Raw genomic sequence first — 27,098 nt, forward strand, 5'->3', positions numbered from 1 at the left:
CAAGGGTTAAATCTTTGGGCCCTACTCCAAGGATTCTGATTTGTGTCTCAAATGAGTTGTCAGAGGATACTGATGCTGCCTGTCCTGGGACCTCACTTTGGGGCTTTGTTAAATTTGGCATAAAGAACTATAAAGAGAGGAATTGTAGGTGGCTTCAAATAATATAATTTGAGAAAAGGGGATCTGTACCCTCACCTCCTGTTCAACCATAAGTGAAGGTAACTTGTGAAACACGAGGCAGATAGGCAGGGCGCTCCCCTCCTTTGAGAGGATAAGACAAAGTCACGAGGCTAAGGAGGAACAAGCCTGTGTCCTGGGGCTGTGGGTTCCACCAGGCTCTGTGCGTAAGAAAGCTCTGTCTCTCATTCTCTCCTTTTTTTTTTTTTTTTTTTTGAGTCAGCTGGAGTGCAGTGACACGATCTTGGCTCACTGCAACCTCTGCCTCCCGGGTTCAAGCAATTCTTGTGCATCAGCCTCCAGAGTAGCTTGGATTACAGGTGCACACCACCACACCTGGCTAATTTTTGTATTTTTCGTAGAGACAGGGTTTCACCATGTTGGCTAGGCTGGTCTTGAACTCCCTGGCCTCAAGTGATCTGCCTGCCTTGGCCTCCTGAAGTGCTGGGATTACAGGCATGAGCCACTGTGCCTGGCCCACCTTGCTTTTTAGAGCTGAATAACATTTCATTGTTTGTCTGTGCCACATTTTATTTATCCCTTCTGCAGATGGACACTTGGATTGCTTTCACCTCTTGGCTGTTGTGAATAGTGCTGCTAAGAATATGGATATGCAATTGGAGAAAGCTTTTTTTAAGAGCCTAGGAGAGCCTGCAGCACCTGTAAAAATCTGGGCCTTCTCAGCCCTCATGCATACCTGAACTTACAGCCAGGTGGCAGACACCACTCTTGCCTATTTCATGCCCCATAGGTCCACTTCTGACTTCTGCTGTGGCTGTGCTGGACAGTCCCATGGGAGATCTGCCTCACCGGAGTCATGACTCAATCACGTAACTGCTGCCCCTTGTCTTTCTCACCTGGTGCTGTGGCAGCTGTCTTGGTCTACAAGTGCAGGAGGGCTAATGCCCCCAGACAACCCTGGACCAATGGGGTCTAGCTGGTGGATAATGCTGTGGCTGCCCATCTTTCCCGTGGACAATTTTGGAAGGCATTCACCTTCTCAGAGGTCCCAGGAGATTTGAGGGACCACAATAATGTGCTCTGATGTTGGCGTTTTCTCCTTCCCCATCTTGCTTTCCCTGCTCCCGTACTCCTGCTTGCTGAGCTTGCCTCCAAATAAACCACCTGACTCCGCGTCCTCCTTTCACAGGAACCCAGCAAGCACAAAGGCTGGTCCTTGCCTCTGGGTACATGGTCTGTAGCTTTCTTCTCTGCACATTGTCCAGCAGTGCCAAACATCGGGAGACTGAAAAGACCACAGGATTTTATGAGGGGAGAAGCAGAAGGACTCCAGAGAGTTATCAACTGACCTGGGTCCCAGAGTTAATTAGGAGGTGACTTCATCCTAGTAGAGTCCTTTCTTGTATACATGTGGTCCCTGGATCAGATCATAAGCATCAGCATCACCAGAAACATGGTAGAAATGCAAATTCTCAGACCTTGGCCCAGACCTACTGGATCAGAAACTCTGGGGGTGGCCAGCAATCTGTGTGTTAACAAGCCCTCTGGGTGACCCTGATGCATGCTAAAGTTTGAGATTGTAGGGGAGGAAACACTTTTCCTTTGCCTGAGGCCCTGTAAATTAGACCCACAAAAGATCAACAAGAGAAAAAGTTTACTAATACCTTTTCTAGCCCTTTTCCCACCCCTTTGAGTTACTCCTCACAGAGGTGTCTCCCAAGGGATGTGCATTGCACAGCCATGGCACAGTGGCTCACGCCTGTAATCCCAACAGTTTGGGAGGCTGAGGTGGGTGGATCACCTGAGGTCAGAAGTTCAAGACCAGCCTGGTCAACATGATGAAACCCCGTCTCTACTAAACATACAAAAAATTAGCTGGGCATGGTGGTGGGTGCCTATAATCCCAGCTACTCAAGGGCTGAGGCAGGAGAATCACTTGAACCTGGGAGGCAGAGGTTGCAGTGAGCCGAGATCACACTATTGCACTCCAGCCTGGGCAATAAAAGTGAAACTTCATCCAAAAAAAGAAAAGAAAAGAAAAGTAATTTCTTTCCAAAACCCCTGACACCAGTCTAATAATGAGAAAACATCAGACACCTCAGTTTGGGGATGTTTTATAGGATACCTGGCTAGGACTCCTCAAAACAGTCCTGCTACCAATGAACTTGTTTTACTTTTTTTTTATCACACACTTTATGACTTCTCATATGATTTAGTTTATTTCAAATGTTTGTGAATTATTGTTTAGAAAATTTATGAAACAATACTATGAAAATTAATGATAGTCACCAAAAATCTATCAGTTGTTATAATTGATTCAGCAGTGAATGTTTTCCTCTGCTCTCTTAGGTTTAGTAACTGGGGCCTGAACATTAAACTGACAAAAGACAGATTAACAGGACAAAGGTGTTTTTCATATGTATAGGGGGAGCTTCACAGAAAAGAAGTGAAGACCCCCAAAAGCAGTTAGGCCTGGCAGTTTATATACCTTTTAACAAACAGCAAAAAATTGTGGAGAAGTGACAAGACAAGGAAAATGTGTTTGAGCTTCTAGGTGTGGTAAATTATGGGAAGGTAAATATATGGGGAAAACTAATGGAAGACAGGGACTATTTGTAAGGTTAGTTATGCAGACTCAAGTCGATGCCATCTCATTTAATAATAAGAGCTATGTTCTCTTCCTAGTATGGAGAGAGTAGGAGAAACACCTTACAAAGGGAAAGTTAGTTTTTCTTTTAGGCGGAAAGGAGGAGGGGCGAGTGTTTCTTATACATCTAATTTTTCTTGTTCTTTTCCTTTTTTAATTTTTGAGACAGGGTCTCACTCTGTCACCCAGGCTGCTGTGCAGTGGCATGACCTTGGCTCACTGCAGCCTCAACCTCCTGGGCTCAAGTGATCCACCCACCTCAAGCCTCTCAAAGTGCTAGGATTGCAGGTGTGAGTCACTGTGCCTGGCCCATCTGATCTTTCTTCATTGGCTTCAGTTCAAAATAATTCTTAAGCCAAAGTGGCATATTTGGGATTGGCATATTCTGATCCCCTTTTATTCAAAGGCCATAAAAACATCCATTTTTTATTTTGGTGTTGGAAACTTATACTGTTCTCTTTCCACTGCAGAATAACATGTTAAAAAGTGATTTCTGGTTGGGCACAGTGGCTAATGACTGTAATCCCAGCACTTTGGGAGGCTGAGGTGGGCTGATCACCTGAGGTCAGGAGTTTGAGACCAGCCTGGCCAACATGGTAAAACCCCGTCTCTACTAAAAATACAAAAATTAGCCAGGCATGGTGGCACATGCCTGTAATCCCAGCTACTCAGGAGGCTGAGGCAGGAGAATCACTTGAACCTGGGAGGCAGAGATTGAAATGAGCCAAGATTGCGCCATTGCACTCCAGTCTGGGTGACAGATCAAGACTGCATCACAAAAAAAAAAAAAAAAAAGAAAAAGAAAAAAATGTAATTTCTTTCCAAAAACCCTGACACCAGTCTAATAATAAGAAAACATCAGATGACCCAGATTGGGGTATGTTTTATGGTTAGGACTCCTCAAAAGGGTCAAGGTTATGGGAAACAAGGAAAGACTGAGAAACTTAGGCCAGAGGAGACTAAGGAGATGTGATGAGTAAAGGGATTGTGGTGCCCTGGGTGGAATTCTGGAACAGAAAAGGAACATTAATGGAAAAATTGATAAAATGTGAATGAATTTGGAGTTTATGTCATAGTAATGTACCAATGTTAGTTTCTTAGTTTTGACAAATGTACCATGGTGATGTAGATAATAATATTGGAGGAAATGAAATAAAGTGTTAGGGTGAGGTGTACTCAAGAGTACCCTGTACTTTCTTTGCAATTCTTCTGTAAAATCTAGTTATTCCAAAATAAAAACTTTATGTTAAAATGCCATGGTAAATTATATTTTAATGGCTAGAGTAAAATTATGTTTCCTAAATGTCAGTCATTTATGTACAATCATGAATTTTCTTTTTGCTATGTATTGATATCATGTGTACTAATATTTTCTCTAAATTGAATATTTTAAAATAATGTAAGTATATACCTACATCATGGGATTATCTGTGGTAAGATCAATACAATGGCATAAGTTTAATATGTTATTTAAATATTTTTCTAATACCTTTTTTTCAAAAGTGAACTTTGGCAGATTATTTTCCCCCTGCAATGCAAACACAATGTCATGCCTCCCATTTGGTTTGGCCTTTCTGACTCATATCACATGACCTTGGCCAATGCTGTGGCCTTCCTTCTTTGTCTGGGAAACTGCCATGTATTCTTCATCTCTCAGCTTACATATAACTTCCTCAGGGAAGAGCTTCCTCATGTCTCTGGCTAGCCTCTGGTGGTGTCAGAGGCATTTGGACCAGAGAGACTCCATCTTGAATAGGAGCTGGGTAAAATAAAGCTGATACCTACTGGGCTGCATTCCCAGGAGGTTAGGCATTCTTAGTCTTAGGATGAGATACAAGGTCAGCACAAGATACAGGTCACAAAGACCTTGCTGATAAAAGGATGCGGTAAAGAAGCTGGCCAAAACTGGCCAAAGCCAAGATGGCAGTGAAAGTGACCTCTGGTTGTCCTCACTGCTCATTATACACTAATCATAATACATTAGCATGCTAAAATACACTCCCACCAGCTCCATGACAGTTTAAAATGCCATGGCAACATCAGGAAGTTACCCTATATAATCTAAAAGGGAAGGAACCCTCAGTTCCAGGAATTGCCCATCCCTTTCCTGGAAAATGAATAATCCACTCCTTGTTTGGCATGTAATCAAGGAGTAACTAACATAAATATACTCAGTCAAGCAACCCATGCTGCTAATCTGCCTATGGAGTAGCCATTCTTTTATTCCTTTACTTTCTTAATAAACTTGCTTTCACTTTACTCTGTGGACTTTCCCTGAATTCTTTCTTCTGCAAGGTCCAAGATTCCTCTCTTGGGGTCTGGATCGGGACCTCTTTCTGGTAACAGTGGCACTGTATAACTCTCCTTTCCTACATTTGTCACAGCTGTATATTGCCTGTTCACAGCAGTTCTCTCATCCTTTTCACATCTCATTTTCTGCCCCAAATAATCAAACTTCAGAAGCAAGAGCAGCTCACAGGGCTTGCCCTTCCTGGAGCCAGCTGGAAGTCTGGGGTTCGCTGGCAGAGGCGGCTGCAAGGGGGCACTGTGGTGTTTGTGGGGGCCACCAGGAGAGCGAGGAAAGGACAGAGAGACCTTAGGGAGGATATAGGTTCAGTGCTCAAGAGAGGAGGCAAAGAGGACTAGATTTCTGGTTACAGAAGATAAGGAACATGGATGGAGATGTGGAAAGAAGAGAATGAGAATGTCTTGGGAAGAACCATAATTTGGACAGAGAGAAAGGTTATTAATGATATCAAGGCATTCTCTGTCTCATTTTAGCCACATATGTAGAAATGAAAAGCCTAGTGGAAATCTAAAGATTGTGTTTGGCAAAGGGCAAGTTATATTCTTAATAAGAACCCAACATTGGCAGTGAAAAATCTAGCTTTCTTGTACTATAGTAGTTCCTCAACACAGAAACAGAATAGTTTCACAACACAGTTGTGAAAAAAGTGGGATTATGGAGTAATGAAAATATTCTAATATCTGATGCTGATTAGGAAAAACATAAACTCAAGGTCTGTTGGGAGGTGCTCAGAATAAAGACCTAAACATCTAGAAAGAAAAGCAAGCCCCTTTCCAATAACACAGCCTACTCATGAAGGGCTGAAATATTTTTTAGGAATCAGAAACATATGACTTAAAGCAAAAGAATGATGAGATTTAATGCAAAATTTAAGGAGTTTTTTTTTTATTCATTTGGGTTCAATAAACATTTAATTTTCAGCTGCCCACATTGGGCTATCACTGAGAAAAGGTGCTTGGCTGGTTGAGACAGACATGTGCAGTACTGCCACAATACAGCTGAAAAGCATGTGCACCTGCCCATGTGAGGGAGGTGCAAAGGTGGTTGAGAGCAAGTGGTAATGTGTGTGGATGAGTATGGGGAGAAGGGGCTGGGAATGGCTCACTAGAGGCAACCATGTTGCATAACAAACCATCCCAAAACTTGGTAGCTTGCAATAACAATTTTTTTCACCCATGATCTGAAAGTCATTGGTAGGAAGGGGATCAGATTTGCTCCATGGGGTTCTCATCCACTTTGAACCAGTGGCTACTCCAGGATATGTTGTCATGGCAAATGGCAGGAATGCAAGAGGAGAAGTGGACATATGCAATGTCTCTAAAGGCTTGGCTTGAAATTGTCATGATACCATGTCTGCCCACATGTCATCAGCTAGAGCAACTGAACATGGCCAAGCTCAACCTCCATGGAGTGGAGAAATACATTCTACCCACTCTAGTGGAAGGTGACACAGTCACCAGGCAGAGAGGGGATGCATAGTCTTAGCATGAAGGGAGAAATGGAGAACAGGAGCAATCCACAGAACTACCTTGGTTGGTAATGCCCAAGCAGGGTTTTGAAGGATAAATAGAAGCTGGCCAGGCAGTGGGATGGAAAAATTTCATTTTATAATAGGCTTGGCTCAGATTAGCGCCATTATAATTTCCCTAAGATGTCAGTTATTGAATTTCAGGTATGAGAGAAAGGAAACTGGATGCCTTCTTTGCTCTCTTCCAAGTTGACACTGCAGTTTTTAGTTCTTCTATGCACAATCCTCAAAGGAGTTCCTTATATGAGTTCTGTTGCTTTTTGTTCAACCTGAAAGTTGCAAAATTGAACTGAGGAGAAAGGCCCTGGGTAATCGTGACCATGAGGAAGAAGATGACTTGGAATGTTGTGAAGCATCTTTGTATTCAAAAGGCAGCTGGCTGCCCTCCCCAGTGAGTCACACATAAAGGGCCCCTGTTTATTAGTGTCTCCGGTCCTACTGAACACTCGGCGTTCGTGGGTTCCCCAGGAAGCCCTGAGAGTACACTTTGAAAATCAGATACATGTCTGTAAATGACCTTCCAGTTCTGTCTCCTCAGATTGCTGTGAATAATCGTGTGAGGACTGCTGTCCGGAGAGGAGGGAGCCTGAAGTCAAGGCATTCCAAGGGGCTTCAGGCATCCTCAGTTTCTTTATGAAGAGCATTTCTTTCTCCTTAGGGAGTGGTGGGGAGGCTGCACCAGGAAGACAGAGGGCAAATCCTAGTGTGTGTGAGAGAGAGAGAAAAAAAGAGAGAGAGAGACAGACAGAGACAGAGAGACAGAGATACAGAGACAGAAAGAGAGAGACAGACAGAGACAGAAAGAGAGAGACAGAGACAGAGAGACAGGAACAGAGAGAGGTATTCTGGATAAGATGGCTTAGAGGAGGCAGAACTAGCTTGCAGCTCCAGCTCCGATGGACAGAGCAGCGTGTGGAGACTCACATCGTAAACTTTTGCTCCAAGACCTACCGCAAGAACATACTGGGAAAGCCGAGGGAATCCACAGACCCTTTGAAGGAACTGATGACTGCTGCAGGCTCCCTGAGATGCCGAAAACCTGTGAGTTGGCTTGCTTTCTCAACATGGAGGCTTGTGGTCTGGGGCAAGTTCTCGGCCCTGATCACCACCTGCCTGGAAATAGACTCGGTGCTGTTGGGAGGGCACAGTGGGAGTGAGACCAGCCTCTAGGACTGTGGGCTGCATGGGGGCAGGGTGGGGCCTCTGACTGCCAGCTTTTCCTCTGGTAAAGTAATACAGGTGACCTGTATTACTCAACAGAGGCAGCCATAATCCCCCTAGGAATATAACTCAACTGGACTGGGAACCACACTCCCATTCCCCACAGCAGCTGCAGCAAGCCCTGCCCAAGGAGAGGCTGCCCTCAGACACAACTATCCCTGCCCCCACCTGGTGGTCTTTCTCTACTGGCCCTGGTAGCCAAAGACAAAGGTCATAATCTCTTGGGAGCTCTATGGCCCTCCCCACCACCTGAGAAACCTGAATACTTAAGCAGGTGTCACTAGGGCAAGTTTGCATCCTCCCTATATATAGGACCACTGCTGATGCACTTTTGAAAGGGCCACCTCCTGGCTGGAGGCCAATCAACATAGAATTAGCACACTAAACAAAACACAGCCAAGGACACTGCAGGGTCCACTTTACTTCCTTGCTATCTCCACGGGAGCAGGGGTCGGTCTCCATGGCTGCAAGACCTGAAGACAGATCACATCACAGGACTCTTTGCAGACACTCCTGAGTACCAGCATGGAGATCGCTAGCTCCACTGGGTGGCTAGATCTAGAAGAGCAAAAACAATCACTACAGTTTGGCTTTCAGGAAGCCCCATTCCTAGGGGAAGGGGGAAAACACCACATTAAGGGAGCATCCTGTGGAACAAAAGAATCTGAACAGCAGCCCTTGAGTCTGAGATTTTCCCTCCAACATAGTCTACCTGAATGAGAAGGAACCAGAAAGCAATTCTGGTAATATGACAAAACAAGGTTCTTTAACACCCCAAAGGTCATACCAGCTCACCAGCAATGGATTCAAACCAAGATGAAATCACTGAATTGCCAGACAAAGAATTCAGAAGGTCAAGTATTAAGCTAATCAAGGATGCACCAGAAAAAGGTGAAGTCTAACTTAATGAAATAAAAAACATGATACAGAATATGAAATAAAAATTCTTCAGTGAAATAGAGAGTATAAATAAAAAACAGTCACAACTTTTGGAAATCAAGAACACATTCAGAGAAATGCAAAATTCACTGGAAAGCCTCAGCAATAGAATCAAACAAGCAGAAAAAAAGCTTCAGAGCTCGAAGACAAGGCTTTTGAATTAACTGAATCCATCCATCAAAGACAAAGAAAAAAGAATTTTAAAAAATGAACAAAGCCTCCCAGAAGTTTGGGACTACATTAAACAGCCAAATCTAAGAATAATCGGTGTTCCTGAGGAAGAAGAGAAATCTAAAAGTTTGGAAAACGTATTTGAGGGAATAATCAAGGAAAACTTCCCTGGCCTTGATAGAGATCTAGACATTCAAATACAAGGAGCTCAAAGAACACCTGGGAAATTCATCACAAAAAGATCATTGCCTAGGCACATAGTCATCAGGTTATCTAAAGTCAAGATGAAGAATAGAATCTTTTTTTTTTTTTCTTTTTTTTTTTGAGACGGAGTCTCGCTCTGTCACCCAGGCCGGACTGCGGACTGCAGTGGCGCAATCTCGGCTCACTGCAAGCTCCGCTTCCTGGGTTCACGCCATTCTCCTGCCTCAGCCTCCCGAGTAGCTGGGACTACAGGCGCCCGCCACCGCGCCCAGCTAATTTTTTTGTATTTTTAGTAGAGACGGGGTTTCACCTTGTTAGCCAGGATGGTCTCGATCTCCTGACCTCATGATCCACCCGCCTCGGCCTCCCAAAGTGCTGGGATTACAGGCGTGAGCCACCGCGCCCGGCCAAGAATAGAATCTTAAGAGCTGTGAGGCAAAAGCATTTGGTAACCTCTAAAGGAAAATCTATCAGATTAACAGCAGATTTCTCAGCAGAAACCCTACAAGCTAGAATGAATTGGGGTCCTATTTTTAACCTCCTTAAACAAAACAATTACCAGCCAAGAATTTTGTATTCAGCAAAACTAAGCTTCACAAATGAAGAAAAGATAGTCTTTTCCAGACAGACAAACTGAGAGAATTCACCACTACCAAGCCAGCACTACAAGAACTGCTAACATAAGCTCTAAATCTTGAAACAAATCCTTGAAATGCAACAAAATAGAACCTCCTTAAAGCATAAATCTCACAGACCCTATATAACAATAATGCAATGAGAAAACAACAACAACAAGGTATTCAGGCAACAAACAGCACCATGAATAGAATAGTACCGGTGGGGCGCCATGGCTCACGCCTGTAATCCCAGTACTTTGGGAGGCCAAGGTGGGTGGATCATGAGGTCAGGAGATCAAGACCATCCTGGATAACATGGTGAAACCCCATCTCTACTAAAAATACAAAATATTAGCCAGGTGTGGTGGCACACGCCTGTAATCCCAGCTACTCGGGAGGCTGAAGCAGGAGGGAGAATCACTTGAACCTGGAAGGCAGAGGTTGTAGTGAGCCGAGATTGCGCCATTGCACTCCAACCTGGGTGACAGAGTGGCACTCCATCTCGAAAAAAAATAAATAAATAAGAATAGTACCTCACATCTCTCAATACTAACATTGAGTGTAAATGGCCTAAATGCTCCACTTAAAAGATACAGAATGGCAGAATGGATCACCAACTAAGTTTCTGCTGTCTTCAGGAGACTCATCTAACACATAAGGACTCACATAAACTTAAGGTAAGGGGCTGGAAAAAGATATTCCATGCATATGGACACCAAAAGCAAGCAGGAGTAGCTATTCTTATATTAGACAAAACAAACTTTAAAGCAACAGCAGTTTAAAAAGACAAAGAGGGACTTTATATAATGATAAAAGGACTAGTCCAACAGGAAAATATCACAATTCTAAATATATACGCACCTAATGCTGGAGCTCCCAAACTTATAAAACTACTACTCAACCTAAGAAATGAGATAGACAGCAACATACTAATAGTGGAAGACTTCAATACTCCACTAACAGCATTAGACAGGTCATCAAGACAGAAAGTCAACAAAGAAAACATGGACTTAAACTACACCCTAGAACAAATGGACTTAACAGATATTTACAGAACATTCTACCCAACAACTGCAGAATATACATTCTATTCATCAGCACATGGAACATCCTCCAAGATAGATCATATGATAGGCCACAAAACAAGTCTCAGACAATTTAAGAAAACTGAAATTGTATCATGTACTCTCTCAGACCACAGTGGAATAAGATTGGAAATCAACTCCAAAAGGAACCCTCACAACCATGCAAGTACATGAAAATTTGATAACCTGCTCCTGAATGATCACTGCAGCACCAATGAAATCAAGATGAAGATTAAAAGATCCTTTGAACTAAACGATAATAGCAACACAAACTATCAAAACCTCTGGGATAGAGCAAAAGCGGTGCTAAAAGGAAAGTTCATACCACTAAATGCCTACATCAAAAAGTCTAAAAGAGCACAAATAGACAATCTAAGGTCACACCTCATGAAACTGGAGAAACAAGAACATCAAGAACATACCAAATCCAAACCCAGCAGAAGTAAAGAAATAAGTGCGCCTGTAGTCCCAGCTACTTGAGAAGCGGAGGCAGGAGAATCGCTTGAACCCAGGAGGTGGAGGTTGCAGTGAGCTGAGATCACGCCACTGCACTCCATCCTGGGCGATAGAGTGAGACTCTGTCTCAAAAAAAAAAAAAAAAAAAAAAAAAAAGAAATAACCAAGACCAGACCAGAACAAAATGAAATTGAAACAAACAAACAAACAAAGTTACAAAAGATAAATGAAACAAAAAGCTGGTTCTTTGAAAAGATAAATAAAATTGATAGACCATTTGCAAGATTAACTAAGAAGAGAGAAGATCCAAATAAGCTCAATTAGAAACAAAACAGGAGATATTACAACTGATACCACAGAAATACAAAAGATTATTCAGGGTTACTATGAACACCTTTATGCACATAAACTAGAAAACCTAGAAGAGATGGATAAATTCCTGGAAATAGACAACCCTCCTACATTAAACCAGGAAGATATAGAATCTCTGAACAGACCAATAACAAGCAGCAAGATTGAAACGGTAATTTAAAAAACTGCCAACAACAAAAAAAGCCCAAGGCCAGATGATTCACAGCTGAATTCTATCAGACATTCAAAGAAGAATTGGTACCACTCCTATTGACACTATTCCAAAAGACAGAGAGGGAATCCTCCCTAAATCACTCTGTGAAGCCAGTATCAACCTAATACCAAAACCAGGGAAGGACATAACAAGAAAAGAAAACTACAGACCCATATCCCTAATGAACATAGATGCAAAAATCCTCAACAAAATACTAGCTAACCAAATCCAACAGCATATCAAAAAGATAATCCACCATGATCAAGTGGGTTTCATATCAGGGATGCAGGGATGGTTTCACATACGTAAGTCAATGAATGTGATACAGCACATAAACAGAACTAACAAAAATCACATGATCATATCAATAGATGCAGAAAAAGCATCTGGTGTAAAAATAGGCACATAGACCAATGGAATAGAATAGGGAACCCAGAAATAAGCCAAATACTTACAGCCAACTGATCTTCAACAAAGCAAACAAAAAATAAAGTGAGGAAAGGACATCCTAATCCACAAATGGTGCTGGGATAATTGGCAAGCCACATGTAGAAGAATGAAAGGGGATCCTCATCTCTCACCTTATACAAAAATCAACTCAAGATGGATCAAAGTCTTAAATCTAAGACCTGAAACCGTAAAGATTCTAGAAGATAATATTGAAAAAAACCCTTCTAGACATTGGCTTAGGCAAAGACTTCATGACCAAAAACTCAAAAGCAAATCAACAAAAACAAAGATAAATAGACGGGACTTAATTAAGCTAAAAAGCTTCTGCACAGCAAAGGAAATAATCAGCAGAGTTAACAGACAACTGAGAGTGGAAGAAAATTTTCACAATCTATACATCTGACAAATAACTAATATCCAGAATCCACAAAGAACGCAAACAAATCAGCAAGAAAAAAAACAATCCCATCAAAAAGTGAGCTAACAAAAGAAGGTATATGGTGATATGGTTTGGATGTGTGTCCCCTCTAAATCTCATGTTAAAATATCATCCCCAGTGTTGGGGGTGGGGCCTTGTGAGAATGTTTGGATCGTGGAAGTGGATCTCTCATGAATGGCTTAGCTCCATCCTCTTGGTAATAAGTGAGTTCTCGCTATGAATTCACCTGAAATCTGGTTGTTGAAAAGTGTGTGGCATCTCCTCCCTTGCTCCCATTCTCATCATGTCATACTCTGGCTCCCCCTTTACCTTCTGCCATTATTGATAGCTTCCTGAGGCCTCACCAGAAGCTAAGCATATATCAGCTGATGCATCCTGTAAAGTCTGCAGAACTGTGAGCCAATTAAAACTCTTTTTCTTTATAAATTATCCAGCCTTGGCTGGGCACAGTGGCTCACGTCTGTAATCCCAGCACTTTGGGAGGCCAAGGTGGGTGGGTCTTGAGGTCAAGAGATTGAGACCAGCCTGGCCAACATGCTGAAACCCCATCTCTACTAAAAATACAAAAAATAGCCAGATGTGGTGGCGCACACCTGTAGTCCCAGATACTTGGGAGGCTGAGGCAGGAGAATCACTTGAACCTGGGAGGTGGAGGTTGCAGTGGGCTGAGATTGTGCCTCTGCACTCCAGCCTGGGTGACAGTGTGAGACTCCATCTCCCCCCTACCCCCCAAAAAATTACCCAGCCTCAGATATTCCTCTATAGTGAAGCAAGAATGGCCTGACACAGAAAATTGGTACTGGGAGTGGGACATTGCTATAAAGATACCTGAAGATGTGGAAGCAACTTGGATTTGGGTAATGGGCAGAATTTGGAGGCCACAGAAGAAGGCTGGAAGATGAGGGAAAGTTTGGAACTTCTTAGAGACTAGTTAAATGGTTGTAATAAAAATGCTGATAGTGATGTGGACAGTGAAGTCGAGGCTGATGAGATCTCAAAGGGAAATGTGGAACTTATGGGAAACTGGAGCAAAGATCACCTTGGTTATGTTTTAGCAAAGAACTTGGCTGTATTGTACCCTAGTGATATGTAGAAGTTTGAATTTAACAATGATGACTTAGGGTATCTAGCATAAGAAATTTCTAAGCAACAAAGCATTCGAGATGTGGCCTGGCTGCTTCTAAGAGCCTATTCTTAAATTTGGAAGTAAATAAATGACTTAAAGTTGGAGCTTATATTTAAAAGGGAATCAGAGCATAAAAATTTGGAAAATTTGCAGTCTAGCCACGTGATAGAAAAAAAAGCCCATTTTCTGGGGGAAGAATACAAGCAAGCAGGCTGCAGAACAACCCTTGCTGGAGAGATTAGCATGACTATAAGGGAGCCAAGTGCCAATATCCAAGATATTGGGAGAAAGGCCTCAAAGGCATTTCGGATATCTCTGAGGTAGCCCTTCTTATCACAGGCTCAGAGGCCTAGGAGGAAAGAACGGTTTTGTCAGCCAGGCCCAGGGTGCTGATGCCCTGCACCACCCTGGGAAGTTGTTCCCTGCATCCTGGCTACTCCAGCTCCAACCTTGGCTCCAAAGCGCCCAGGTACAGCCCAGGTCACAGCTCCAGAAGGTGCAAGCCATAAGCCCTGGTGGCTTCTATGTGATGTTAAGCCTGCAGGTGCTCAGAATGCAAGAGTAAAGGAGGCTTGGCAACTTCCATCTAGATTTTAGATGATGTATAAGAAAGCCAGGGTGCTCAAGCAGAACCCTGCCACAGGGGTGGATCCCATGCACACTACTAGGCCAGTGCCAAGGGGAAATGTAGAGTTGAAGCCCCCACACAGAGTCCCCACCAGGGCACTGCCTAGTGGAGCTGTGGGAATGGGGCGACTGCCTTCCAGATCCCAGAATGGTAGATCCACCAGCAGCTTGCCTCCTGCACCTGAAAAAGTTGCAAGCACTGAACTCTAACCTGTGAACTCTGCAAAACCACAGGGGCATGGCTGCCCAAAGAGCTCAACCTTTACTTCAATGTGCCCAGGATGAAGGACATGGCATCAAGGATTATTTTAGAGGTTTAAGATTTAATATCTACCCTGCTGGGTTTCAGACTTGCATGGGGCCTGTAGCCATTTCCTTTTGTTCAATTTATTTCTTTTGGAATGGTAATGTTTAAATAATGCCTGTACTACCATTGTATCTTGGAAGTAAATAACTGTTTTGATTTTACAGGCTCATAGGCAGAAGGAGATGAGTCTCAGATGACTTAGGACTTTGGACTTGATTAATGAGTTGAAATGAGTTAAGATGTTGGGGGACTGTTGGGAAGGGATAATTGTATTTTGCAATATGAGAAAGACATGAGATTTGGGGGACCAGGGGACAGAATGATATGGTTTGGATATTTGTCTCCTCCAAATCTCATGTAGAAATGTCATCCCCAGTATCAGAGGTGGGGCCTGGTGGGAGATGTTTGGATCATGGGAGCAGATCCCTCATGAATGGCTTAGCACAATCCCCATCACCATCTGAGTTCATATAAGATCTGGTTGTTTAAAAGTTTAAAAAAAGTTTAAAAGTTTCCATCTCTCCTTGCTCCTGCTCTCACTGTGTGATACGCTGGCTCTTGCTTTGCCTTCCACCATGATTGTAAGCTTCCTGAGGGCTCCCCAGAAGCCAAGCAGATTCCAGTGCCATGCTTCCTGTACAGCCTGCAGAACCATTAGCCAATTAATTCTGTTTTCTTTATAAATTACCCAGCCCCAGGTATTTCTTTATAGCAATTCAAGAATGGACTAATACAGTTAGAAATAGATTTTTTTTTAAGTCTAAAGAGCATAGCAAACATCAACCTAAGGACTAAAGTATCTACTGTTCCTGTCTCATACCTGCTGTACTTCTGATAAGAACATCCTCTTTCCTGGGACCTCAAATACTTAGACAATCCCCATTCATTTTTTGAGATGAAGCTTAAACATGTCCACCTTTTAAAGCCTCTCTTGATCCACCCAAACCTGGAGAACTTCAATGATTGCATTTACATTGGCTCCTACCTTAATTATCCCTCAGTGATTGCATTTACGCCAGCCCCAACTCAAAGATTGCATTTACACTGGACTACACATCTTTATGTCCCCCATAGACAGCTGTCCCCCAGGTACCTGCTTTGTTCATTTCACATCCAAGCATCCATTAGAATGCCTCTCTCATGGTAGGCACTTCACTCTAAAATCCTTTTGGGAACAAAGTGACTATGTGATTTGAAGAGAAAAAGAAAAAAATAAAGGAAGGAAGCAAGCAAGGCAGGAAGGATAGAAGGAAGGAAGGAGCAAGAACATTAAGAATGTTCAAGTTGGCTGGGCATGGTGGTTCACGCCTGTAATCCCAACAATTTGGGAGGCCTAGGTGGGTGGATTACTTGAGGTCAGGAGTTCAAGACCAGCCTGACCAACATGGTGAAACTCCATCTCTACTAAAAATACAAAAATTAGCTGGGCATGGTGGCGGGCACCTGTAATCCCAGCTACTCGGGAGGCTGAAGCAGGAGAATCACTTGAACCTGGGAGGTGGAGGTGGCAGTGAGCTGAGATTGCACCATTGCACTCCAGCCTGGGTGACAAAGTGAGACTCCATCTCAAACAAACAAACAGAATGTTCAAGTTATTATATAATAAGTGATTTTAAATATTAATAACTGAAATTTTACTGAAGTACACATTTTGTTCAACTCAAATTAGAGGCAGCACAGTTTAGAAAAAAAAGGTACTAAGCTATGAAAGCAGAAGTTTTGGTTTTGACACTTGACTTTCCTCTCTGCTCACCTTGCTACTTTTCGAGTTTTTTTAATCTGTTAACAGATAAGGGATTGGACCTCATCTGTAAGATCCTTTCCAGTCCTTTTTTTTTGAGACAGAGTTTCACTCTGTCGCCCAGGCAGGCTGAAGTACAGTGGCATGACCTTGGCTCACTGCAACCTCGGCCTCCCGGGTTCAAGAGATCCTCGTGCCTTGGCCTCCCAAGTAGCTGGGATTACAGGTGTGTGCCACCACGCCTGGCTAATTTTTGTAATTTTAGTAGAGATGGGGTTTCACCATGTTACCCAGGCTGGTCTTGAACTCCTGACCTCAGGTGATCCACCCGCCTCTCCCTCCCAAAGTACTGAGATTACAGGCTCACACCTGTAATCACCATGCCCGGCCAGATCCTTTCCAGTTCTAAAGAGTCAAGAGAGCAAGCCAGAGCAGAGTGAGCTCTGAGTTGGCTGTTCTCTTTCTCTTCATCCACCATGCACTATGAAGAGTACTCTAGGCCATATCCCGTGCTAAGCTGGGAAGGTAGATTGTCAGATAGAAGAAAACTTTGACCTTTAAGGCTCACAGCCCAGTGGTGAAGCAGACAGGAAACAGAGAAGGCCTCCTTTTGGATATATGCAGGGGATGCGTGGAGTCCACACTTCATATGGCCTCTGTTGGCATCAACTTTCTTCACTGGGCCCCCCAACCCTCGCTCTGCTGTCTGGCTTCTGCCCTAGCTCTTGTGCCTTGTACATGAAGTATTTGTTGGGTGAGTAAATAAATGAGTTAATTGTCATGATGGAGACATGGCCAGGGAATTCTGAAAGCAGGGAGGAGGGGGTCCTAACCCAGTCTGGACCCAGGAGACGAGGGGGAGAAGTGATGAGAAAAGGTTTTCTGGAGGGGATTTAATGATTAGAATTAGCCAGGCTAAGTGTTTGCGTAATGAAGCTTCCAGGCAGTGGACACAGGCCAAGGTAGATACAGCTGGTAGAGGCCCCCAGTAGTCCAGTATGGCTGGAGGTAATGTGTGAGGCAAGGAGGATGGCAAATAGGAGGGAGGGGAGGCCTTAAGCTCTACTGTGAAGAACTGGTATTTTCTCCTATAGTTGTAGGTTTTAGTATTGAGTGAGGCAATTAAGTTTGTCTTTTTTTTTTTTTTTTGAGACAGAGTCTCACTGTGTTGCCCAGGCTGGAGTGCAGTGGCACCACCTTGGCTCACTGCAACCTCTGCTTGTCAGGTTCAAGCAATTATCATGCTTCAGCCTCCTGAGTAGCTGAGATTACAGGTGTGTGCCACCACACCCAGCGAAGTCTGTCTTTTAGATAGTCTACTCCCTACTTACCCTGTGTAGCATGGATTTGAAGTGGACAAGAATGGAGGCAGGAAGGCTGTCCTTCGGAGGCAGTACTAGGAAGGATGTAAGAATTATGGGGGAGGGTAAACTGGACAGAGTTATTGATCGTGCAGACATGACAGACAAGAGAAATATTAGAAGGTGAAACCAACTGGATTTTGTGTCACGTAGATGTGGATGGTGTGGGAGAGCAGTAGTCTAGGGTTATGTGATGGTTACTTTTATGTGTTAACTTCACTGGGCCATGGGGTGCAGACTTTTGGCCAAACACTATTCTGGGAGTGTCCCTGAGGGTATTTCTGGATGAGATTAAAGTTTGAATTGGTAAACTGAAGAAGGCAGATTGCCTTCTCTAATGTGGGTGGGCCTTGTCCAATCAATCAGTTGAAGACCGGAATAGGACAAAAAGGAGGGGGCTCCTCTGGCCTGACTGGTACTACTTGAGCTAGGTCAAGCAGTCATTTCTTGCCCTCAGACTGGAACTACACCATCTACTCTCCTGTGTCTCCAGCTTGCCAACTACGGATCTTGAGACTTCTCAGACTCCATAGTTATGTGAGCCAATTCTTTTTAACTCCCCCACTTTACACACACACACATGCACATGCACATGCCTACTGGTTCTGTTTTTGGATGATGGGCCTATTAACTGAGCTAGGGAATGGAGTAGGAGCTGCAGTGGAGAGGAGAAGGTGGTGAATGTAGTCTGAAGTGCCTGTGGCAGAAGATGTTCAGTAGGCAGCCGAATCTACATGCCTGAAATGCAGGTGAGCAGAAGTGGCTGCAGATAATGGATTTGAGATTCAGCAGAATATTGGTGATGTCTGGAACCATGAGGAGGGATGTGATCACCCAGGTGAGTGTGCAGAGTGAAAAGTGTGGATCTTTTGCAAAAGATAAGATGATACAAAAGGAAAAAATGTTTTAAGATGGTTAGATGATAGGGGAAGACATAGGCTCTAGAATGCGGAGGGGCAGGATTTGGGCATGTTTAAAGGCTGTAGGAAGGGGAATTGTATAACAGGGGAGCATGACAGGTGAATCCAGGTCTCCAAGCATGAATGATGAAGTCAGGGGCACAGGAACACAAGGGGGACTACCTGGACTGGACAGGCTGGAGAGAGGTCATGATAGGAAGTGGACATTGATATGATTTGGATGTTTGTCTCCTCCAAATCTCATGTTGAAATGTGATCTCAAAAGTTGGAGGTGAGGCTTGGAGGGAGGTGTTTGGATCATGGAGGCAGATCCCTTGTAAATGGCTAAGTGCCATCTCCTCCGTGATAAGTGAGTCTTAACCCTATTAGTTCACAAGACAGTCGGTTGTTTAAAGGAGTCTAGCACTTCCTTCTCTCTCTCTCTTGCTCTGTCTCTTGCCCCGTGACATGCCTGCTCCCCCTTCACCTTTTGCCATGAGTGGAAGCTTCCTGAGGCATCACTAGAAGCGGATGCTGGTGCCATGCTTCCTGTACAGCTGCAGGACAGTGAGCCAAATCAACCTCTTTTCTTTGTAAATTACCCAGGCTCAGGTATTCCTTTATAGCAACACAAAATGGACTAACACAAACCTATATATGCCAAGTTCTATAATAATAAAACAAACAAACAAAAAAATCAAAACAGAAACAATGAAAACTTTATACTATTCTTCAAACAACTCTAGGAATCATTTTTTAGGTAGACTAATAATGTAATTTAGCAAACCAGGTCACTTTGGAGAGAAAAGGAAACATTATTAATAAGTCCAGACAACAGGCATAAACAGGGATTGTTCCAGGCCAACTGGAATGTACAAAGATCCTATTTTTAGATCGCTGTTGCTTTTTGGTAAAGTAATCAAGGAGAATTTTCTATTGCTTTGGTTATGTGAATCTCTTGAAAAAGTTAATTCTAGCCAGGTGCAGTGGCTCATGCCTGTAATTCCAGCACTTTGGGAGGCTGAGGGGGGCAAATCACCTAATGTCAGGAGTTCGAGACCAGCCTGGCTAAGATGGTGAAACCCTGTCTTTACTAAAAATATGAAAATTAGCTGGGCATGGTGGTGGGCACCTGTAATCCCAGCTATTCAGGAGGCTGAGGCAGAAGAATCACTTAAACCCGGGAGGTGGAGGTTGCAGGAAGCCAAGATCGTGCCATTGCACTCTAGCCTGGGCGACAAGAGCAAAACTCTGTCTAAACAACAACAACAACAAAAACCCCTTAATTCTTAGACAAGTATTTCAGAATATTTTGCCAGCTCCCTGTAGAACTCGTCCCTCTGTTACCTCAATCCAATAACCTTAAACATAAAACCTTTCTCCCAGAGACAGCTTCACACTTGATGATTCCCCCAGTGGTCACCCCAGCTTAGTAGTGTCTAGCAGTGACAATCCATCTGCCCATTACTTGCAGTCTGTCATCCATTTATTTAGTCCTCTCTTTTCTGTTCATTTCTAACCAGCATGAGGGTTTAGTTGCACAACTCCATGTATACCTGGTGGTGTTGGGGCCCATGGTCTTTGCTTTATATGATGCCACAGACTGGAAAGCACTTTGAGCAAGCCTGTAGGCTTGTTACAGATAACAGGACACCTGCCTTTTCTGTTGTGTGATAACTTGATGTTCACTGTTGATGCATTATTCATTTTGATGGCATTTGATGTTGTTTTAGCATGAATGGATTTTTTTCATTACAATGAATAGTAATTCTATTTTTCACTTAGAAGGCTAAGTGCTATCGGGGCTTTTGGGGATGAATTGCTCTGGTTAGCAAAGAGGGACTACTTATGAGAGGGGGCTCCCTAAATAAGGAGTGATTAGAGTCTCCTTCAATGTCATGGAACTGACTAGCCTAGGGAGGCCCAGAAGAGGCAAGGATTGAGAGGTTCATATGGACTCTCCTTCCTAGGGATAGAAGGTGATGCCCCTCCAGTTGCCTGGTATAGGCACACACAGCTCTGTTGTCTTCTGGGCTTGATTCTGGTTTTCTCCATCCATTGGTTCTTTCTCCTTGTCACTTGCTCAGCCATTCCTCAGCTTGGATGTGTTACCACTTACACAGAGATCTGGTATAGGAGGAGTGTGAGGGGCCCTTTCTGGAACTTGTTTTGGGGAGCTCAAGATTATATATACTTTTTCAATGTACCTGCACTAATTGACTATATGAATACATTTACATACTTGTACATTTCGTTTTACATCTGAATATAATATGAAATTATGTTGGAGAGTTGTTTTTTTTTCTTGTGCCAATTCAAAATCTGCTTTACTTATTTATATTTTTTACTACAAAATAAATTTATTTTTACAACAAAAAGGAGAGATTATTATTCCTTTTGACACAGGATCTTGCTACTTTGCCCAGGCTGATCTTGAACTCCTGGCTCAAAGGATCTTCCTGCCTCAGCTTCCCAAGTGGCTGGGATTACAGGCATGAGCCACCATGTCCCAGAACTGTGAGCCAAATAAACTTTTGTTCTTTATAAATAACCCAGTATGTGGTATTCTGTTATAGCAGCAGAAAATGGATGAAGACACTGCTCTAACCCTAGAATCAGCTTCTTCTCAAGGAACCCTGATTCTTTTGATTGGAGAATTTTATTAGAAATCAAGATTTGTGCACTGGGTGTGTTGTTGCTACTGGGGTGTCATTGCTTCTAGAACCTTTCAGTGGACAGGGCTAGGAAACATATGTATGCATGCTAACCCAGCTTATCTGTAATTATTTGTGTGTGTGTGTATATATATATATATATGTGTGTGTGTGTGTGTGTGTGTGTGTGTGTGTGAGTTCATAATGATGTCTCTGACTCTACTCTAGTACCACTTAATTCATTCTCACCTTCATGAGGGTGATTCTTCAGAAATGAAAGATCGGAAGTGAGAGAGTGAGAAAAGGAAATGATCAGGGCAGAATTAGGTCATATAGAATTAGAGGAAAATATATTCACTTATTACAGAACTGAAAGTAATCTTGGAGAACCTGTCACACATTGTCATCCAACTTGTTTATTTAACTGGTGAGAAAACTGCAATTCGATAGGGGCTATTCAGGGTCTTAGAGCTAGTTAGCAGCAAAGTAAAGACTCCTTGTTCTGAGAACAGCTTCTTTTGCCCTGGCTATAGGATACAGTCTCATTGGCTAGGTACTTTTCTTTTGAGGGCAAATAGATAAGGAACTGCCCAAAGATTTCAGACAGAGGTGACAGCCTCAGTTTTTATAATGCACAAGGACTGCCCACAAAATGACCAAAGTGATTGAGACACAATATTTTTCCCTCAAAAGCTTAAAGCCTGATGGAGGAAGCAGAATTCATACAATGTGCAAGAACTTAAATAGAAACGGCTTAGACAGGTGCGGTGGCTCACAGTTGTAATCCCAGCACTTTGGGAGGCTGAGGTGGGTGGATCACTTGAGGTCAGGAGTTCGAGACCAGCCTGGCCAATGTGGCGAAACCCCATCTCTACTAAAAAATACACAAATTAGCCGGGTGTGGTGGCAGGCACCTGTAATCCCAGGTATTCGGGAGCCTAAGGCAGGAGGATCACTTGAACCTGGAGGTTGCAGTGAGCTGAGATCGTGCCATTGAACTCCAGCCTGGGTGACAGAGCAAGACTCTGCCTCAAAAGAAAAAGAAGGAAAGAAAGAGAGAGAGAGAGAGAGAGAGAGAAAGAAGGAAAGAAAGAAAGAAAAAAGAAGGAAAGAAAGAAAAGAAAGAAATAAGAAAAAAAGAAAGGAAGAAAGAAAGAGAGAAAAAGAAAAAGAAAGAAAAAGAAAGAGAAAGAAAGAAGGAAAGAAAAGAAAGAAAAAAGAAAAAAGAAAGGAAGAAAGAAAGAGAGAAAAAGAAAAAGAAAGAAAGAAAGAAAGAAAGAGAAAGAAAGAAAAGACTTAAAGAGCTCTGGGTGCACAGAAGTGTAAGTGATTATTTGTGCCTTGGCAGGTGGGGCAAATTTGTCAGGGTAGGATTTCACAAGTGAAACCCAACCCAGATAAATTGAGGAATTCTCCCAAGGTAACTCATCAAGAAGTGTGGACACCAAGTATTTTTGCACACACAGGACAGCCTCTCTTTTTAACAAGGTGAGAGCTTGCCTGTGGCCTTATTCACGAGTCCATGAATCTCAGTAGTTTTCACTCTATGCAGCATTTTGCAAGGTGGAGTGGAAAGCATTTCACTTTGCTTTTGCTGTTTTCAAGATATGTCCCATGGCATGGCAGCCAGATAAGATACTATTGGGGTGCTTTCTCTGAGTGACCTCCCAAGCTTCCCTGGCTTGCTCACGACTTAGAGCTCCCGGTCCTGGGAGGCAGACAGTGGAAAACTCAGAAAGAGGTCAGAATTTTGGGAGCAAGATTTTTCTAGGGAAAGACGGAATCCCTTCAGAAACTACTGATGGGGTTAGGGGATGGAAACCAACAACAGTCAGTTGGTCGAGTTTATCTCCTTAGTACAGGGTGAGATGGCTAAGCTGAAGTGGGTAGTTTTGGATAGCTGGTTGAGCCGCATGCTGGGGCAGTGCCTGACTCAAATCCATGTTCTTACTATTAGCCACTAGGGGGCAATAGCATGCTGAGGATGCTACTCAACTTTGACCCTTAATATGATTAATTTTAGAGATATGTAAGCTTCAAAATCTTCAAATGTTAAAGTTAAATAAACTTTTATTCGGGGCAGAGATGTTCACAGCATCATGGATTCATTTAAAAAGCAAACTTGAGTATGTTAAAAAAAGATTCACTTTTTTTTTTTTCAAAACTGCGTTTACTTACCACTTGTTAGGGATATATAAAAATGTACAAAATAATAATATTAAAATTCTTATTAGATTAATAGCATGCGTTCTATTATGTTGTGATCACTACTCTTTGTGATCATGTATGTTCTATTATGTTGTGATCACTACTCCTTGATTTGTTGGGATTCATTTCCATATTTCTATATCACTATAAAGCAAATAAAAGAACAAGTAAAATGTGTCTATTTCAAATACCTGAATTTATTTTATGGAAAAACAGAGTGTAAACAATGCCTTTATTCCAGAACCCTTCAAAGCATTTTATTTCTCCTAACTTCTCTACTGTCCTCAGTCTCTTTGATTTTTTTCTCCTATTTGATATTATCTTAATTAAGACTCTTTGGGTGGCAAATAACAGCTACCAACTCAATCCAGCTTAAAGCAAAATAGGGGAGTTTATGATAATATTTCACATGTTGAGGCTCAGAAAACAGTACTCCAAAATGAAGGCCTCAGAAGCAAAAGTGTTTCTCCAGCCTCCTGCCCTGCTGTCTCTCGGTCCCATTCTCCCCCAGGCTAGCCATAGAAACTAGGATTCCCCTTCCCCAGGGTGAGTCAGAGAAACCAGAATCCCTTTTCCCCAAAGCCAGCCATAAACCTAAAAATATTACTCTAACCTTCCCTCTACCTTTCTGTGCAAAAACTAGCTGTGAAGAAATTATCTGACCAACGCTGTTTGACTATAAGTCATAAGACCCCCATTCCAGAGAGGGCCCTGCCCCACACCCCGAAGGAAGGAATGCTGCTCAGAAAGGCCAAGAAGAATCTAGGCAGACAGGCCTTGCAGGGTTACCCGCCTCTGTCTGTTAGCATAAAATCATATTTTGTCCAATCACATTTCTACACCGCTGTCCGTACTTTGTTGAACCCAAGCATAAAAATGGACAATTTCTCCTGTATCTTTTTTTTTCTTTTTTTGAGAAAGAGTTTCACTCTTGTTGCCCTGTTAACCAGGCTGGAGTGCAATGGCGTGATCTCAGCTCACTGCAGCCTTCATCTCCCGGGTTCAAGCGATTCTCCTGCCTTAGCTTCCCGAGTAGCTGGGATTACAGGCTCCTGCCACCATGCCTGGCTAATTTTTTGTATTTTTAGTAGGGACAGAGTTTCACCATGTTGGCCAGGCTGGTCTCGAACTCCTGACCTCAGGTGATCCACCTGCCTCGGCCTCCCAAAGTGCTGGGATTACAGGCATGAGCCACTGTGCACGGCCCTCCCCTGTATGTTTGGGTCTTCATTCTGAAGGCTCCCAAGGAATACATGTTAAATAAATTTGCATTCCTTTTCTCTAATTAATCTGCCTTTTGTGAGTTGATTCATCAGCTCTTCCTTGGCCCCTACACAGGTGTGTCTCATGGAGCTGGAAAGCAGGGCCGTAGCCAGAAAAAGCATAGATTGAGGAACTGGGAAGCTACTGAAGACCAAGTATCCATTCTCTTGGTTATTTTCTCAAGTCAGATTGTTTCTTGTCTGACCCTTCCTATGTTATTCTCTTGCTGTGAACAGTGTGTACTTCGCCTCTGTGCATCTTGTTGAAAGGGTTACCCAGAGCTCCTGGGATTGTTGGATAACATGATCATTCTGTTTTTAATTTTTTTGAGGAAACTCCATACTGTTTTCCAAAGTGGCTGTGCTAATTTACATTCCCACCAACAGTGTACAGGGGTGCATTTTATCAGCATCCTCACCGACACTTGTTATATTTTATCTTTATTATAGTATCCAGTCTAGCAGGAGCAAGGTGATATTGCATTGTGGTTTTGATTTGCATTTCCCTGATAATTAGTGATTTGGTGCAGTTTTTCATCTACCTGTTGGCCATCTCCATGTCTTCTTTTGAGAAATGTCTCATCAGGTCCCTTACCCATTTTTATTAGAACTCAGGATTAAGAAACTCACTCAAAACTGCACAACTACATGGAAACTGAACAACCTGCTCCTGAATGACTACTGGGTACATAATGAAATGAAGGCAGAAATAAAGATGTTCTTTGAAACCAGTGAGAACAAAGACACAACATACCAGAATCTCTGGGACACATTTAAAGCAGTGTGTAGAGGGAAATTTATTGCACTAAATGCCTACAAGAGAAAGCAGGAAAGATCTAAAATTAACAGCCTAACATCACAATTAAAAGAACTAGAGAAGCAAGAGCAAACACATTCAAAAGCTAGCAGAAGGCAAGAAATAACTAAGATCAGAGCAGAACTGAAGGAGATAGAAACACAAAAAAAACCCCTTCAAAAAAATCAATGAATCTAGGAGCTGGTTTTTTGAAAAGATCAACAAAATAGATAGACTGCTAGCAAGACTAATAAAGAAGAAAAGAGAGAAGAATCAAATAGATGCAATAAAAAATGATAAAGGGGATATCACCACCGATCCCACAGAAATACAAACTACCATCAGAGAATGCTATAAACACCTCTAGGCAAATAAACTAGAAAATCTAGAAGAAATGGATAAATTCCTGGACACGTACACCCTCCCAAGACTAAACCAGGAAGAAGTTAAATCCCTGAATAGACCAATGACAGGCTCTGAAATTGAGGCAATAATTAATAGCCTACCAACCAAAAAAAGTCCAGGACCAGATGGATTCATAGCCGAATTCTACCAGAGGTACAAGGAGGAGCTGGTACCATTCCTTCTGAAACTATTCCAATCAATAGAAAAAGAGGGAATCTTCCCTAACTCATTTTATGAGGCCAGCATCATCCTGATACCAAAGGCTGGCAGAGACACAACAAAAAAAGAGAATTTTAGACCAATATCCTTGATGAACATCGATGTGAAAATCCTCAATAAAATACTGGCAAACCAAATCCAGCAGCACATCAAAAAGCTTATCCATCACGATCAAGTGGGCTTCATCCCTGGGATGCAAGGCTAGTTCAACATACACAAACCAATAAACATAATCCATCACATAAACCGAACCAAAGACAAAAACCACATGATTATCTCAATAGATGCAGAAAAGGCCTTCGATAAAATTCAGCAGCCCTTCATGCTAAAAACTCTCAATAAACTAGGTATTAATGGGACGTATCTCAAAATAATAAGAGCTATTTATGACAAACCCACAGCCAATATCATACTGAATGGGCAAAAACTGGAAGCATTCCCTCTGAAAATGGGCACAAGACAGGGATGCCCTCTCTCACCACTCCTATTCAACATAGTGTTGGAAGTTCTGGCCAGGGCAATCAGGCAGGAGAAAGAAATAAAGGGTATTCAATTAGGAAAAGAGGAAGTCAAATTGTCCCTGTTTGCAGATGACATGATTGTATATTTAGAAAACCCCATCAGCTCAGCCCAAAATCTCCTTAAGCTGATAAGCAACTTCAGCAAAGTCTCAGGATACAAAACCAATGTGCAAAAATCACAAGCGTTCCTATACACCAATAACA

At 42.7% G+C, this 27,098-nt stretch overlaps 2 annotated features.

Moving 5' to 3' along the window:
• Nucleotides 7,950-8,604: an enhancer, noted in NCBI's record as "OCT4-NANOG-H3K4me1 hESC enhancer chr9:88801905-88802559 (GRCh37/hg19 assembly coordinates)". NCBI's record gives its function as "activates a minimal SCP1, AML or CMV promoter by ChIP-STARR-seq in naive H9 embryonic stem cells {active_cell/tissue: H9 hESC(naive)}" and the evidence as "EXISTENCE:reporter gene assay evidence [ECO:0000049][PMID:30033119]".
• Nucleotides 23,426-23,475: a silencer, noted in NCBI's record as "silent region_19995". NCBI's record gives its function as "represses an Ori minimal core promoter by ATAC-STARR-seq in GM12878 lymphoblastoid cells {active_cell/tissue: GM12878}" and the evidence as "EXISTENCE:reporter gene assay evidence [ECO:0000049][PMID:35858748]".

The sequence above is a fragment of the Homo sapiens genome, chromosome 9 (assembly GCF_000001405.40).
Source record: "Homo sapiens chromosome 9, GRCh38.p14 Primary Assembly".
In the NCBI taxonomy this organism is placed as follows: domain Eukaryota; kingdom Metazoa; phylum Chordata; class Mammalia; order Primates; family Hominidae; genus Homo; species Homo sapiens.